Here is an 18,744-nt window from a genome sequence, read left to right on the forward strand (position 1 = left end):
AACTTCTCTAAACTGAAATATAGAAAGAAAAAAATAGAATGAAAAAAGAACAGAGGAGCCAAGACTGTGGAATGATATCAAAAGATTTAACATTTGTGTAACTAGGGTTTCAAAAAGTGAAAGGGTAGACAGAAAAATATTTGAACAGTTTTGTAAAATTGATCAAAGACAGCACCTTCCAGATCCAAGAAACTCAGCAGAACTCCAAGCACAATAAATACAAAAATGACCACATTTAGATAGGCCAGAGTCAAACTGTTGAAAACCAAAGATAAGCCGGGCACAGTGGTTCACACCAGTAATGCCTGCACTGTGGGAGGCCAAAGGGGGCAGATCACTTGAGCCCAGGATTTCGAGACCAGCCTGGCCAACATGGTGAAACCCCATCTCTACAAAAATTAGCCAGGCATGGTGACATGCACCTATGGTCCCAGCTACTTGGGAGGCTGAGGTGGGAGGATCACCTGAGCCCTGGGATGTTGAGGCTGCAGTGAGCCATGATTGTGCCACTGCACTCCAGCCCAGGTGACAGAGTGAGATAAAAATTCAAGATAAATATATTGTCATGTGAGGCTAGAGCTCAGGGAAGAGGTCAGAGTTGGAAAAGACTGGGAGAATTCTCAATGTCAGTAGTATTTAAAGCCTGGCACTGGATGAGGTCACCCAAAGAAAGAAGGTGGTCTGAGCAGAGCAGGTGCTAGGACCAGCCTGCCACACAGCAGGGTTTAGTGTTCAGACTGCACAAGAACCAGCAAAGACGCTGAGAAGGAGTGGCCTGAGAAACAAGAGGAAAACTGGAGAAAATTGAATCACAGATGCAAGGGGATGGGATTTCATGGATGTACCTTTTCCATGGGCTTTTCCTGTGTTTCACTGTATTACTCCCTATTATCCATGTTATTTTTCTGTAAGCGTGTGCTTTTCTTTCTTCCTCTACGTAGAGTCTCAAGCTGATTTTTTTCTCTGACTTGTTTTTATATCTCTGTATCCAACTTTGTCTTTTATCCTCTTCTTCATTTCTCTTTTATCGTCCCTTCTCCTTCTGAATTTGTTTTTTAAATGACGCTGATACACATTAGGCATTTCATCAGTTTATTATTTATTATATTATTCTTGGAGTTGTATGTTGCTATTATTAATATTGCTTAAAAATTAGTCTAACATTTTGTAAATAATACCCAAAAAATAAGCCACAAAAGAATCCAGCAAATTAAACTGCTTTTGTCTCCATTGATTTTCTTTTGTGGGACAATGTATTAGTTTTCTTATTTTGTTTTTAAAAATTTATTCAATCCCTTTTTCCTCTATTAAGAACATTATATTATTTAATAAAAGCCCTCTTATGAGCAGTTTTGGCTACCTCAATGATGTAAAATTAATGGTGTATATGCAGATATGTGCATACTCTGCCAGGTCCTTTTGTCTTTACTCAAAAAAAAGTAATTGCATATTCTTAATTATAAGACAAAGATTTGGTTTTTTTTTTTTCTTCCCTAAAACCATTTTTTGGCTGTGTGCTGTGGCTCATGCCTATAATCTCAACACTTTGGGAGGCCAAAGTAGGAGGATCACTTGAGTCCAGGAGTTGGAGGCTACAGTGAGTTCTGATCACACCCACTGCACTCCAACGTGACAGAGTGAGCCCGTCTCTCAAAAAAAAAAAAAAAATGAAGCTTGTATTTTTAAAATAAAAATGGGTTGTTAATTCTGAGTTCAACACATGTAAACATTCATTTTTCAATTTTGATATTTCATAATATAGTAAAATATCTTGATTAGGATACCTGTAGGTACTAACCACTAGAAATAATTTGATACACCAGTGTAACTGGTCATAACTGTTGTTTATCTGTTGAATATTTAGGTTTACTCTTCCAAGCTATTTGTAACAGGAGCCTAAAAACTGGGTTTCTTTCATTGCACTTCATGGCTCACTGGTCATTGAAGATGGCAAGCGAGGGGCACTCTGGATACAGGTCAGTTTCCTGACAACCATCAGGATAGTGTGATAGGCACACGGTTCCAACTGTCCTCATTTATTTAAATAGCAAGCTAATTAAGGACCTTGAAGAGTATTAGAGAGTTTCACGATCTGCTCATGTCCTGTGATTTAACCGTATTATAATTCTTTAATGGGAATTTTATAAACAGGCAGTTTGAGATGCAGAGTTTCCAACAGACTTAACGGAGTTTTTTCCCCTTTAGGTGTAAAAGGAAGAGAACATCTCCTGGACCTAATTGCCACAATGCGATACTACAGTTTATTCGCACCAGGTTGGAAAAAACGGGAATAGTGTTCAAATCACTGATGGAACTGGATGACGCTTCTATTTCCAGGTGGCTTTAACTATAGTATTAAGGAACTTATTTATATTTTCAACTATTTATTTAATAAACCTTACAAACAAGCTACAGGGAATTATCTTTCATGTGTAGGCTACTTTATAAGTATGTAGGAAGATAATTTGTTTGCAGGCGACAGCTTGCCCACAGTCTCCTGTGGCGGGCAGGGCTGATGTGGTATTTGTGCCTTGGCCTGCACAGGAAATGGGCTCAAAGAATTTCAGTGCAGCTCCCCCTGGAGCCCGGCGCTTCTGGCTCTGGTTGTGGTACTCTTCACAGCAGTCTGCTGATCCTGGGTGCCTCCAGAAGACCCACAGTGTGACTGTTGGGCCCAGCCCTGTTCCCAACAATGGCAGGGCCTGGGACAAGAATACAATACAAGTATTTAAAGTTTATAACTTTATAGTTTATAACAATACAAGTATTTAAAAAGTTGTAAATCAAACTAGCAAACTATTAGATTAAGTGTGTCCTAATCTCCTCCCTTGGCAAATACAACTTCATAACCACCTGGAAGGCCAGGTTCAAATTCAGCCCTTGGCTGACCCCCAGCACCCTAAGAGGCCTTGCCTGCACACGTGAATACCCCACCCCACCCATCAAAATGCCATCCAGACCCCATGCCAGTGCCCCCTCACACCAGCCACCTTGTAACACCAGTGAGATGGCAGCACTGTTCAAACTCAGGATGACAGACCAGGGAAGACCCTGGAAGTGGACTCAGGGCCATGTGGTCAGGGACGCTGGAGTTGCAGGGTCTAAAAAGGAAGATATGGGCTCCGGGGTGGGCACATTCTCTTGTCCCTACAGACCCTCCACCCCATGGCGAGAGGGGCATGACCAGAGTAGGATCCCTCTGACATACATATATATGTATATACATACACATATGCACATACATACACATATACACATATACATAGACATATGCACATACATACACATATACACATATACATACACATATGCACATACATTCACATGTATGTGAAGGCACACATGTGCACATACACATATGCACATACATTCACATATACACATGTATATATATAAGTATATACATACACATATGCACATACATACACACATACACATGTATATATATAAATATATACATACACATATGCACATACATACACACATACACATGTATATATATAAATATATACATACACATATGCACATACATACACATATACACATATACATACACATGTAATTGGCTTATGTTCTTTTAAAGGCAAGATAAGGGGAAAACTAATCAAACTAATAAAAATACTATTGTGAGGGAGGTTTGGTAGAGAGGACAAAGATGGAAGCTAGGTTTCTCCTAGTGTGCTTTGTTTTGCAGTTTTGACTTTGGAACTATGTAAATATTTTACATAATAACGGATAAGATTGATATTTATTTATTTATTTGTTGAGACAAAGTCTGGCTCTATCGCCCAGGCTGGAGTGCAGTGGTGCAATCTCAGCTCACTGCAACCTCCGCCTCCTGGGCTCAAGCCATCCTCCCACCTCAGCCTCCTGAGTAAGTGGGACTACAGGCATGCACCACCATGCCCTGCTAATTTTTGTAATTTTTGTAAAGACAGGGCTTCACCATGTTACCCAGGCTGGTCTCGAACTCCTGAACTCCAGCAATCCTCCTGCCTCAGCCTCCCGAAGTGCTGGGATTACAGACATGAGACACCATGCCCAGCCTGGGAATTAATTTAAGGTGACTTTACAACATAGTAAATAATTTGACTGTGTCAAATTATGTCAAATCCCCTAGTGGGATAGTGCCTAAGGATTAAAAAATATTACAAAGAAATCTCACTGGGAGTAGCCATGGTGTTAATAACACTTTTGATTTGTTATTTTGGAAGGTAGATACTAATATTGTTAGAAACCAATATGTATAAAATCAAATAAGTTAAACGAAACCCCTTGATTTCTAAACTTGAATTAGATCAGAGAATAGAGGAACATGATATGTGACACCATGCAAATGCAGTCAGCAAAGTCTGGAATGTGGGGAAATAAATGGCAAGAGAAAAAAAGGTTTGAGGAGCAGAACCTGTAAATAAACCTTTAGAGACATGTCAACCAAAAGCAAGGGTAGACCTTGTTTAGATCCTGGTTTGAACAAAACCCACTGCATTTAAAAAAGTGAGACAGGAAAAATTAAACACTACCTGGATATTTTATGATATTTAGAGAAATATTGATAACTATTTTTTATTTTTTGAGACAGATTCTCGCCTGTCGCCCAGGCTGGAGTGCAGTGACGCAATTTTGGCTCATTGCAAGCTCTGCCTCCCAGGTTCACACCATTCTCCTGCCTCAGCCTCCCAAGTAGCTGGGACTACAGGCACCCACCACCATGCCTGACTAATTTTTTTGTATTTTTAGTAGAGACGGGGTTTCACCGTGTCTGATAACAATTTTTTAAGTGTAATGATTAAGAAAAAGTTCTCGAACACAAAACAGGTGTTCAGGAAGTTCTGGACTAGGCACATTGGCTCATGTTTGTAATCCATGCACTTCGGGAGGCTGAGATGGGAGGACCACTTGAGCCCAGCAAGATCAAGCCCAGGAGTTTAAGACCAGCCTAGGTAACCAATGACACCCCCATCTCTACAAAAAAACTTTTTTTAATTACCCAGTCATTGCTGGGCACAGTGGCTCACGCCTGGAATCCCAGCACTTTGGGAGGCCAAGGCAGGAGGATTGCTTGCTTCCAGGAGCTCAAGACCAGCCTTGACCACATAGCAAGACCCTATCTCTACAAAAAAAATTAAAAATTAGCCGAGTGTGGTAGTGTGTGACTACTCAGGAAGCTGAGGTGAGGGGGATTGCTTGAGCCCAGGAGGCCAAGGCTGCAGTGAGTTGTGATTGTGCCACTGCACTCCAGCCAGGGCAACAAAGTGAGACCCTGTCTAAAAAAAAAAAAGGAGAATCATAATTTACTATATGTAATTTATACTTCCATTTTTTAAAAAGCAATACCTTCTCATTAGTTTGCCAAGGAAGATGAGAATTTATTCTTTTTTCTATTTGGGGGGCTTTCTTTTTTTTGTATTTATTTATTTATTTATTTATTTATTTATTTATTTTATTTATTTATTTATTGAGGCAGGGTCTCGTTCTGTTGCCCAGGCTGGAGTGCAGTGGCATGATCTCGGCTCACTGCAACTTCTGCCTCCCAGGTTGATCACTTGAGCCCAGCAAGACCAAGTCCAGGAGTTTAAGACCAGCAATTCTCATGCCTCAGCCTTCCGAGTAGCTGGGATTACAGGTGCGCACCACCGTGCCCGGCTAATTTTTGTATTTTTAGTAGAGATGAGGTTTCGCCATGGTGGCCAGGCTGGTCTCAAACTCCCGGCCTCAAGTGAAAATAAACCAGTGCCACTTGCCGAGAGAATTAATTAAATAAATATCAAAGAAAAAACACTTTGAACAGCTAGGGGATGGGACTAAAAAATTAGTATTTGACTTAATAGGCACATCCAAAGAGGTAGTTATTCTATTTATATTGTTCCTAATTAGTAATATTATAGCTGTTAGAACAAGTATAAACTTTGAACCTGCTTTTGAACTGTAATACCACAAAGTATTAAAGCAAGATTTTCAAAATTGATCAAGTATATTCCAGCATATAGCTCTTGCTACATTACTGCTATGGTGCTGGCAAAATGGTTTGCTGGCACTTGAGGACATAAGACAATACGATTTCAGGCCGGGCGCGGTGGCTCACGCCTATAATCCCAGCACTTTGAGAGGCTGAGGCGGGCAGATCACAAGGTTGCAGTGAGCTGAGATTGTGCTACTGCACTCCAGCCTGGCAACAAAGCGAGACTCTGTCTCAAAAAAAAAAAAAATTAAATATTTTTTATTTCCTGTTTATTGCATGTTTGAAACTTTGTTCTGTATTTTCTATTTCAGGATGTACGTAACATTGATGCAGGAGTGCATTACATGGGGGTGTGGGCACAAGATTTTCTTACTAGTGGAATGTGAACCAAAAAGTGTAGAGGCCACTGCACTAAAGGAGGCCGGCTCAATCAGTGAAAATATTCAGAGCCAGTTTTGTCGTTTTCAGCAGTCAGTAACTATCAGTAGACAAACATTTACCAGGAAATGTTGGTCTTTTAAACACTTTGGGCATGCTTCTTATTTAGTATGTTCATTCTATCATGACATTCAGTGAACATTTATTGAGTGCCTACTGTGTACCAGGGATTAGTAAGCACGTTAAATTTATAAGCTTTGTTGATTTCCACCACAAACCCATAGGACCTCATGTTATTCTCATAATTGAGGAAACTGAGATTCCCAGTGTTGAATGAAAGCCACACAGTATCACATGGCCAATATCATGTGATTGCAGAGTCAGGACTCAAACCCAGCTCTTCACCATCACGCTATACTGACAGCCCTTTCCCAGTTCACAGGGAAAAATCAGGAACAGGGAGAGAATTTTCAAAATATTAAGTTTCCCCATAGAATTTTCTGAAGAACTTTGGTGTATGTTGCCACTTGTTCACTAACAAGTTCTAGCAGATGACAGAACAAATGAGGAAGTAGCTAATTAATATTAATGAACAACCTCAGAATTTTTCTGAGTGTTGAATAGACTTGAATATTCAACAGTCTCAAATATTTGACACCATTTAGTGGACACAGACTTGACTCGATATGCTTATTCTACCAAGTTGTTCCTGATTTACGTGACACAACTGAATGTATGCCAGTTTCATGGGGGACTCTCAGATATTCTGAAGGTACCTAATCAAGTCAGTACAGTGGGAAGGAGAGAGAAACAGAAGCCTCATTTGTGAAATAGTACTTGAGTTTGTGCGTGAAGAATGGATAGGATTTAGACTGAGAAGCGTGGAAAGGGGACAACCATAAACAACTGTAGAGAGGCTGGAACGTGAGCTGTGCTGCAGGCAGCAGGGATGCCTGGAGGCACGTGGAAGCCAGGAGGTGGCGGGCACAGGACACTTGACAATGCAGTGCATAAGCTCAGGTGAGACGGGCAGAAGAACTTCCGTAAGATGCCAAGGAAAACTGCTTTTATTAAATATCTTAATTTTTGGCAGAATCATTTTGTCTGATATAATGTGATGGGTTTAGTACCACATTACATTTCACATGTTATATTCTGAAATCTGAAACTTTTTTTTTTAATCTAGGAATATTCCCTGGGCTTTTGAGGCAATAAAGCAAGCAAGTGAATGGGTAAGAAGAACTGAAGGACAGTACCCATCTATCTGCCCACGGCTTGAACTGGGGAACGACTGGGACTCTGCCACCAAGCAGTTGCTGGGACTCCAGCCCATAAGCACTGTGTCCCCTCTTCATAGAGTCCTTCATTACAGTCAAGGCTAAATCAAATGAAACTGAATTTTAAACTTTTTGCATGCTTCTATGTAGAAAATAATCAAACGATAATAGATACTTACAATGAAACTCCATTAAGGTTTTATTCAGTGTAGCAATTAGTGTCTTTAAAAATAAAGTGGAAGCAGAATTACTTTAATCAACTAACAAGCAATAATGAAACTTAAAATATTTCAGTTTTCTGTCTCATTTTTTGTTGTTGTTGTTTTATTTTTTATATTTTTTATTTTTTGAGACAAAGTTTTGCTCTTGTTGCTCAGACTGGAGGGCAATGGCGTGATCTCAGCTCACTGCAACCTCCGCCTCCTGTGTACAAGCAATGCTTCTGCCTTGGCCTCCCGAGTAGCTGGGATTACAGGTGCGTGCCACCATGCCCTGCTAATTTTTTGTATTTTTAGTAGAGACAGGATTTCACCAGGTTGCCCAGGTAGGTCTCAAACTTCTGATCTCAGGTGATCCACCTGCCTCGGCCTCCCAAATTGCTGGGATTACAAGCATGAGCCACTGCACCTGGCCTGTTGTTGTTGTTTTAGAGATGGTCTCAATCTGTCTCCCAGGCTGGAGTGTGGTGGTGCGATCATACCACACTGCAGCCTCAAACTCCTGGGCTCAAAGAATAGTCCCACCTCAGCATCCCAATTAATTGAGACTATAGGCATGTGCCACCACACCCAGATAATTTTGGGGTGTACTTTTTGTAGAGATGGGGTCTTGCTATGCTGCCTAGGCTGGTCTTGAATTCCTGGCCTCAAGCAATCCTCCCACCTCAGCCTCTGAATGTGTTGGGATTACTTGTGTGAGCCTCTGCACCCAGCCAGTGTTTCAGAGCTTTATGGTGATGAGAGATGCTTCTGGATGGTCCTGGGAGCCTGTGTTCTCCTCACATTCAGGAGTCCAGTGGAAAGCTGGCTCAGCTGGACTGAGCAAGCTGAGAAGAAACATGGTCTTTTGTAGGGGATCTGTCAGGGTGGTGGGAGAAATTATAAAAATTAAGTTGTAGGAAATAGACACAAAACTTCTTGGATGGCTGGGAGGTTTGCATAGCTTCTGTAAAAGATTTGGCTGAAGGCAGCTGAATTCTCTTAAAAGCTTAGGGTGTAGATACATACGAAGGTGGAGGAGTTTATCTAAATAGCTTGTTTACTCATGTGGTCCTAAAACAGACCTTTGATCATTTGCGGGCGCATGACTGCTCTCTACTCAGGAGGTCAGCAATGTTAATTACCCTCTAGTGGTGTGGTGTTTACTTGAGACCTTTGTCATTAAATCTCTACTGAATAAATGCCTGGAGCCCCAGCCTGACAGGGCTGTGCCTGCTGACTCTTTACAGCACCCTCCTCAGTGTCTGGGAGCTGCCCGGTCCCCTACCCCACTCTTTCATGGGATACCTGTGTCTGAGTGCATTTCTTCATCTGTCATGCAGCCAGGGTCTGCAGGTTGGACCCAGCAAGTTATTGACAGAGTTTGAAAATTATACAGGATTGGTCGTTGAGTTGGATATTTTAGTCAACATTTATTAAGCCCATGCCTCAGCAGTAGTTGACTTTTGTCTAAAGGGAGACAAAGAAATTCTAGTTTTCCCAAATGTCCAAGGCTCCAAACAAAACATACTGAATCAGAATTTCCAGAAGAAAGTCCTGGCAACTTGGATATTTAATAGGTGCTCCAGGTTATCAAGCACATTAGAACACAATGGCCCAGGTGCTGTATCTCAAAGTGTGAGTCTGTGGACTGGCATTGTCTGCCTCACTCGGGAACTCATCAAGAGAGGCAGAATCTCTGGTCCTGTTTGAGACTATTGAATCAGAAGCTGCATTTTAATTAGCAAGGCCCTCAGGTGACTCCTGTGCATGTTTATAGTTGAAGGGCTAGTGGAATGTGGTGACAGGAACATATTTGGTGCTTGTTCAGGGCTTTGTTTTAAGAACCCATGATGCTTGTGCCCAGTGGAGCAACCCATCAGTCCAATTGTTGGGAGAAAAGCTGAGGCAAGACTTGCTATCTGACATAATATGAAAAGAGCCTTGGAACATGTCCTGGGTCCAGAGTTTAAAACTTCTTGTGGCCTATGGAACACCAGGCTCTGTGCTTAAGGGTGGAAGGCTGCCCCACTGCACTACAACCTAAGCCCAGGGCATAAAACCCCTCGTGGCTTGGATGGAATCCAGGACTCAGTACATAAAACCCCTCACGGCCTCTGGAATGTGTCCAGACTTGCTGGCTCCTTGCTTCTTGCTCTCCCAGGATCATAAATTGATTGTATCTTGAGGTAGAAGGAAATGTTCAACATTATCTTGAGTAGCAGAACATGTTCCATATGCTTCAAAGAAAATGCTAGACTGACACAGCTGTAAACTAAACACTTGATGTGACTGCTTCCTTTCAACCAGCACATCCTCGCCACCTGCTTCTTTGTTTAATCACCAATAAATGGTGTGGGCTCCCAGAGTTCAAGGCCTTCACAGCCTCTATACTAGCGTTGGCCCCCTGGACCCACTTTATGTACTATTAGCTTGTCTTGTCTCATTCCTTTGACTCCGCCGGACTTTGTAGCCCCCACGGCCTGGTGTTGGGTTTGATCACCTCAACACCAATGTGGATATTTGTGACTGCCTTTGTTTTATAATATTTTTATTATTCACCTTGTACAGATGAAGACTTCCAGCTGTAGAGGCCAAAGGGGCCACACTGCAGGTAGAGCAGGCATTCACCAAGGCGTTTGTGATCCTGGGGTGCAGCTCCCACCCTTGGCTGCCTGGGTGCTTCTTTCCACACCTACTGTCTTGTGACATCCCCTTAGGCACCCAGCACAGGCTGCTGTCTGATTTAGAACTGAGCCTGTTCAGTTGATGGCTCAGTGCAGGCCTCTAAAAAAGCAAGCCTGATGTGGGTTAGTACATCTGTGGTTGGCTTACTTATTTGGTGTTCATTTTTTCAGTTTTCAGAAAGGTCAGTTGAAGTGCTGCTGGTGGCTGTAGAATTGATACGCAGGGGAAGTTTTTGATCTGTGTGCTTTCTAAGGGACAATTGCTAAGCCGCACTGATACCTTGAGCCCCTTTCCTTTGGAACAATGTAGAGCCCAGTTCATGGCTCCCAGAAGTTTAGGTCCAGTAATTTGGCTGCAGGCCTAGAGAATGGGAGGCTGCAGACTTGGACTAATGGTGAACTCTTGCCTCCCCCCAGGGATATGTGGTGCCTGTCATAAGCTCCAGAGAGCTGCCTTCCATGAGACCAGCAGAAGAGTGGGCAAACATGAAGTCCAATCCCCCTATCCAGGCTGCCATTGACCTCATGGCAGGGGCTGCAAGTACAGTCCTGTGCCTCATAACCATGTTTCTGTTGGTGATGGATGGTGTATCTGATGGTGGTCCCATGAGATTATACCATCTTTTACTATACCTTTTCTGTGTTTATATACATTTAGATACACAAATACCACTGTGTTACAGTTGCCTACAGTATCCAGTACAGTAACGTGCTGTACAGGTGTGTAGACTTGAGCAACAGGCCATACTGTACAGCCTAGGTGTGGAGTAGGCTACGCCATCTAGGGTCGGGTGTATATGCTCTATGATAGCACAATGATGAAATTGTGTAATGACACATTTTTCAGAACATGTCCCAGTCATTAAGAAATGCCTAAGTATAATCCCAGAGAAAACCCAGTCTTCTCTATTCCTCAAGTACCTTCTAAATGAGATCAAATGAAAGTGGTATGAAAACATTGCCTTTCTCCCTCTAGAAGTGATGGGCTTTACCTTTGGGATGAATCCATTTGATGGAAGTGTTGTTCAGAGTGTGGCAGAAGGTAGAGGAGTGTCCATTATTGCTAACACCTTGTGAGTCAGGGTGAGGGGGGGAATGTGCCCAGTACAGCTGGAAAACAGCTCAGAGGTGAAGCCCCTTGTCCACTGTCACCTGGCTGGGATAGGCAGGTGACATGGTTCTTCAATTCAAGTCTGGCAGTCTTCAGAGCCCTTGTAGTGCAAAAATAACACCGTAGCATCTCCCAGGAAACACCACTTACTGTCCCTGCTAGTGTTGGCAAAGAAAGGAGGACACTCTTTAGAAGTGTCGTTTACAATGAGACTGATAATGGACTGTGTCTTAGAGCCATGAAAGGAAAGGAGAAGTTGTAGGATTTCCTGGGAATGTCAGCTAACCTGAGCCTAGGGGCCTGAGCCCAAGGGCAGACTGAGGCTCCCCCAGCACAGGGAGGTGCTACCTGTGACAAGGGGGTAGTGCTGGCACAGTGCAGGCTACTCCCTAGAAAGATCAGCTTGAACATGCAGGAAGAGCAGAACCCTCGGGCTGAGGCACAGGCGGAATAGGAAGTGCATGGTGGTAATTTAGTTCTCCTGGGGCCAGAAGTAGGAGGAGCGGTTGGAAAGCTGATTGCCCAAAGGGAAACCCTGGACTACCCTGGCCTCCCACAGGACTCTCATAGTAATTGTGGCTCCCTGCAGTGGGGAGGCCAGAAGGAGTGTTGCCCAATGCTGTCCTCATCCAGTCCACCCCCCACCCACCACCAACAGATGAGTATGGTCATGAGTGTGGTTACCTCATCAGTCATTTGCTCAGCTGTGAAAAAGAAATTGTTCAGAGAAGAGCAAAGTGTTTTTCCATGAGCCAGAGGTCAGCCAAGGTATGCTAATGAGGAGGACTGGAGACAGCGCATCACAGACACTGATAAGGAGCACTGGGCAAGGGCACTTCTCCCAGGGCAGAGCCCACAAGGAGCGTCCTGGCACCAGATGCTCAGGGAACTGAAGGCTGGCAGGGGCCCGCCCAGTAGTCTCTTGCCCACTGTGTGCCTTTAGGCTACAGCCTCCCAGGCCCCGTGCCCCCTCCCTTCCCCCATGCCACACTGGGGAAGATGCTGACCCTGAGAGTGGTGCAACCATCTGCCTGCCCCTGGCCACCTCTCACCAGCACGTGAATGCTCTTGGGCTCAGTTCTGTCTCTGCAGTAGGAGGGTGTTTAGCCACATGACAGAGTCTCACCTTTTGACATTTTATGTCTTTCAGTCTGTCAAAGATCTAGAACATATTTTGATGGAATTAAAAAGTTTACTTTTGGCTGGGCAAGGTTGCTCAAGCCTGTAATCTCAGCACTTTCGGAGGCTGAGGCAGGTGGATCACTTGAGGTCAGGAGTTCAAGACCAGCCTGGCCAATATGGTGAAACCCCGTCTCTACTAAAAATACAAAAATTAGCAAGATGTGGTGGTGCACGCCTGTAATCCCAGTTACTCGGGAGGCTGAGGCAAGAGAATTGCTCTAACCCAGAAGGCAGAGGTTGAAGTGAGCGAAGATTGTGTCATTACACTCTAGCCTGGGTGACAGAGCGAGAATCCGTCTAAAAAAAAAAAAAAGAGTTTACCTTTTCCTGTTTATGTGCATACAGGTATTTGGGTACCACATTTGTAATTCACAGTTAGTTTGAAAGATAGAAATTGAAACAGTATGGTTGGGAGCCTGGTATGTAAGCCGTTTGCTGGTGGGCATGTGTGTATTGGGCCCTTGTATGTACGATCTCTGTGATCCCATCATTACTGTTCATTTCTTCCAGGAGAGGAATGACACACTTCTCACTTTAATTGCCAGATTATCTCCGATTCTGAATCAGTGGAATATAATTTAATATGATTTTACTATGATTAATTCAGGGTCATTCTCTCCCAGGTGCTGCTGGGCTAGGATAAAATGAGATCTGAATTACATTAAAATAATTAAGTATTCCAAGAGAAGAGGTGACAGAATGGTTTAAGTGGCTGCGTAGTTTAGATAACCTAGATGCAGATAAGCTGAATGAAGCATTTAATCCAGCACATTCGTATTTTAACTTGATCATCAGCAATAGGAGTTTGAAACCCAGTTGCAGCTGCAGGTTCCACACAACTGAATTCGGTTCCTTGTGCATAGTAGTGTTCACTGGAGATGCCTGGAGGTCTGAAGGTGTGCCCTTTTATAGGCAGGAATTCCACCAGGATGGGTATAGCTTGTTTTTTTTAAAAGGCTTGGGACTGGATACGATTGCCCAAGAAGACAGTGTAGACAGCAAGGAGGGCTGAGCATGAATGGGATGACCTACCAGCACAAAAAGGGCAGGCAGGAAGGCAGTAAAGAAATGAGCAGGGCCCAAACCAGGAGAGTGTGGCATGCCACGATGGAGACTGAACAGAAGCAAAACGATGGGCGACTGTAGTGTTGTTCCCTGTTGAAGGAGAGACACTCTGTTACAGAAGACCTGGACTTCAGTTCAGTTCAGTTTCCTTAGCAAAGGACAAAATGGGGAGAGAAGACAGGGAATCAGGGAAGAAAAACTCACTCACTTAATGTGACGCAAACATCGCATGCAGTCGTACCAACCAAGTAAACATGATAAGCTACAAAGAACTATGGTTTTCGCTGCTCTCAAAATGCCACTGAGATTACCAAGTTTTAAGCTTATTTCAAGATTATTTATAGGTGATTCCCCAACTGGGAAAGTCATTTCTGAATTTCTTCTCTTCTAAAATAGATCTAGAAAAATTAACAAACTTTATTCCAGTAAGAGAGTTTGGGATGTACTGCTTCAGCCCCTGTCCTAAGGAAATTATCAAGCCTGGAGGGTGGGGTGCTATCAACTGCCTGCCAACATGTTACCTTCTGGCATCCAGAAGCTTCCCTGTGCCAGATGGAGCCACCAATGTGGGGAGGAGAGCACAAAGAGCAGAGAATCCACAGAAACCATACCTGCAGGGAGCAAACACCATCACACCCCACTGCTGTGAATGCAAATGCATTTACCTGTTCTTACCATCTCCCTCAGCATGTTGAATCTATTCTGGGATTAGACAAGCTCCCAGACTTACCTGCTATGTTTAATAAAAACACGGTAAAGGAAGAATCGGGGCTATTAAAATACTTAAGAATGAGAAAGTTGAAAAAAGAAAAAAAGACGTAGATTGTGTTTGGCATGTCTTCCCCCCACCGTAAGGGATTGCCAGTCAGCTGGAGGCCTGCTGGTTCATGTGGGCCAGCCCTCGACACCTCAGTGACCAAACGAAATACAACCCTCACTAGAGCTTCTTGTACTTGGCAAGACCCAGACATAGACCTGGGCTACCAAACAAAACCTTGTGTTCTTAGAGCCTGAGAACAAGAGCTTTGACAGTTTCCACAAAGAACCCTTCCGCAGCATTAGCATTTCTATCTTCACCTACCTGCAGCCATTACTGCATTGAACTCTGGAAATGTCACATCAGCTGTTCTTAAGATAAAATACCATTTGCTATTTTTTTTTTCCTCTAGGCCCTGTCCCTTTGATGTTAAGTGGTGGAGGGAGTTGGCGGGATTTGCTCTGGCTTGCGGTATATCCAGTGGATTGTATCAAATCCAGAATTCAAGTTCTTTCCATGTCTGGAAAACAGGCAGAATTTATCAGAACCTTTATAAATGTTGTGAAAAATGAAGCTGAATAAACACCTGTTTTTCCAGCATCTATTATACATCTTAAAATCTGAGATATGAACTTCTCTGTTTTGATTGTAAAAGGAAAGAGAACAGTAACACAGAAACTTTGTGTCCCAAATAGAGCACAGATACCTTGTCTATTACTCATAGTAATCCTCCCTTAAATTTGTATAACATGTGAAATTTTACAAAGTACTTATACCTCCCTTATCTAATTCAATCTTCATAACCACCCTGGGCAGTACTAATATTTTAAACCAGTCTCCAACCTCAAGGTTGGTGCTCTTGCCACTGCCCAGGTGAAGCTGCAAAGCTGTGGCCACCTCTGTCTCCATGGTTGCCTCTGTCTGGCCATCTCAGGCCTCAATTCTGCCCCATCCATATACTAAGAGTTAACCAAGCATGGAATTGGGGTATGTTACATGAGCATCAGTCAGTTTTGCCAGGAGACCTGATACTTGTCCTTGTTTCTGTTGGTCTATTTAGGGAAAGCTGGGAATGCGTCCTTCTATGACTTGTTGGTTTTTAGCACTCTTGTCTGGATTTGCATGTGTAAATATTCCTGTACTATGCAGCTGCATGGGTGTCCCCAAAGGAGGGATTGTTGCAGTCTTTGCTTGCCCTTTTGTCTTCTAGGAATAATGGCCTTATATTCTGGACTGAAACCTACATGATTCGAGCATTCCCTGACAATGGAGCACTCTTTTTGGCCTATGAATATAGCAGGAATTTGATGATGAGCCAGTTGGAAGCATACTGAAGTGTCTTGGAGGGCCTGAGCCAAGCACAGGTGTTTGAGGACTACAGTTCATTTCAGGGTTTCTTGTAGTACAAGACCAGCGTGAAGTCATTCTGATTTCTTGGGAATTTTGCCTTTCTGTCTTCTCTTATACCCTATATCTTAACTTGTTTGGAAGAACCTCTATTTTGCATCATGTCATTTCTGCCCATAATTGTACTGAAATAGAGAAGTCACTGCTCTTTCCCTTGGTAAAATAGAGAGTGGTCAGTAGGCTTATGCACCTAATTCAAAAGACTGAGTACAGTTCTGTCAGGGCTTTTACATAAACCTCTACTTGCACATTCAATTTGGACAGTTATGTGTTGAGGGAAATACAGTTTGGTTCCATGTTTATTTCAAATATTGCCAGAAAAACCCAGAGGTGATCGTTTTTCATGAAGATGCTTACAAATGGTTGCTTAACCCATTCTAGATGTAGGATCTGCTTAATGTGTGTACTATTCTAAGTGGTTGATTTTTTTTTTTTAAATATGGAGTCTCACTCTCTTGCCCAGTCTGGAGTGCAGTGGTGCAGTCTCAGCTCACTGCAACCTCTGCTTCCTGGGTTCAAGCAATTCTTCTGCCTCAGCTTCCTGAATAAGTGGGATTACAGGGGTGCACTACCACACCTAGCTAATTTTTGTATTTTTAGTACAGACAGGGTTTCACCATGTTGGTCAGGCTGGCCTCGAACTCCTGACCTCGTGATCCACCCGCCTCAGCCTCCCAAAGTGCTGGTATTACAAGCATGAGCCACTGCACCTGGCCAAATAAAACATATTTTTAACCAATAAAAATTAAGGACAAAGAAGAGCATTCCTTATAGAATGATAAAGGGCACAATTCAACCAGAAGACTTAGCCTAAATATGTACACACCCAACATTGGAGCACCCAAATTCATAAAACAAGTTGTTCTTGGCCTACAAAAAGATTTAGACACACAATAACAGCAGGAGACGTCAACAACCCACTGACAGCAATAGACAGATCATTGAGGCAGAAAACTAACAAACACTGTACTTGCACTTGACAGTTGACCAATTGGACCTGATAGACATCTATAGAACACTTTGTCCAACAAACACAGAAGATACATTCTCATGTGCACACAGAACATATTCTAAGATCAACCACATGCTTGGCCATAAAGCAAGCCTCAATAAATTCAAAAAGTTTGAAATCATACCAAGCACACACTCTGACCACAGTGAGACAAAAATAGAAATCAGTATCAAGAAGATCTCTCAAAACTACATAAATACATGGTAATTACATAATTTGCTCCTGAATAACTCCTGGGTGAAAATCTAAATTAAGGCAGAAATAAAAAAATTCTTTGCAATTAATGAAAATAGGGACACAACATACCAGAATCTCTGGGATGCAGCTAAAGCAGTGTTAAGAGGAAAGTTTATAGCACTAAATGCCTTCATCAAGAAGTTAGAAATATCTCAAATTAACATTCCTACTTTGCACTTAAGGGAACTAGAAAAAAAGAATAAACTAACTCCAAAGCTGGCAGAAGAGAAATAACTAAAATTAGAGAAGCACTGAATGAAGTGCTTTTTGAAGTGCTGTTTTTTTTAGACTAGATACAAAAATCCACACAAAAGATCAATGAAACCAATAATTAGTTTTTCAAAAAATAAACAAGATGGATAGCCTGATAGCTAAACAAAGAAAAAAAGAGAAGAGCCAAATAAGTACAATCATAAATGACAAAGATGACATTACAAACAATCCCACAGAAATACAAAAGATCCTCAGAGAATACTATAAACAACTCTATGCACACAAATTAGATAATCTAGAGGAAACGGATAAATTCCTGGAAACATACAATCTCCCAAGATTGAATTAGAAAGAGATTGAAACCTTAAATAGACAAATGCCAAGTTCCAAAATCAAATCATTAATATAAAATCTACCAACAAGGAAAAGCCCTGGACTAGATGAAGCAACAGCTGAATTCTACTGGAGGTACAAAGAACTGGTACTAGTTCTATTGAAACTGATCCAAACTGAGGATGAGGGGTTCCTCCCTAACTCAGTCTATGAAGCCAGCATCAGCCTAATACCAAAATCTGGCAGAGAAACACACAAAAAGAAAACTTCAGGCTAATTACTCTGATTAACATAGACACAAAAATTATTAACCAAATACTAGGAAACAGAATCCAGCAGCACATCGATAAGTTAACACACCACAATCAAGAAGGCTTCAGTCCAGGGATGCAAGACTGGTTCAACATACGCAAATCAATAAATGCGATTCACCACATAAACAGAACTAAAAGCAAAAACCATATCATCATCTCAATAGATGCAGAAACAGCTTTTGATAAAATCAAACATCCCTTCACATTAAAAACCTCAACAGACTAGACATCAAGGGAACATACCTCAAAATAATAAGAGCCATCTATGACAAACTCACAGCCACCAACCTACTGAATGGGCAAAACTTGGAACCAATCCCCATGAGAAATGGAGCAAGACAATGATGCCGACTCTCACCACTCCTATTCAACATAGTACTGGAAGTACTACCTAGAGAACTCAGGCAGGAAAAACAAAGAATAGGCATCCAAATAGGAAAAGAAGTCAAATTATCTCTCTTTGCTGATGATATGATTCTATATCCAGAAAACGAAAGACTCTGCCAAAAGCCTACTAGAACTGATAAACAACTTTAGCAAAGTTTCAGGATAAAAAAATCAATGTATAAAATTCAACAGCATTTCTATACACCAATAATGTCCAGGCTGAGA

The 18,744-nt window shown here is 42.3% G+C and overlaps 2 pseudogenes; both read left to right on the top strand.

The window, feature by feature from the left end:
* PARP4P2 (poly(ADP-ribose) polymerase family member 4 pseudogene 2) overlaps positions 1–7,905 on the top strand; it is a 59,018-nt pseudogene extending 51,113 nt beyond the window's left edge.
* SLC25A15P2 (solute carrier family 25 member 15 pseudogene 2) lies at positions 15,025–15,189 on the top strand (annotated as a pseudogene).

This window comes from Homo sapiens, chromosome 13, assembly GCF_000001405.40.
Source record: "Homo sapiens chromosome 13, GRCh38.p14 Primary Assembly".
Classification (NCBI taxonomy): Eukaryota; Metazoa; Chordata; class Mammalia; order Primates; family Hominidae; genus Homo; species Homo sapiens.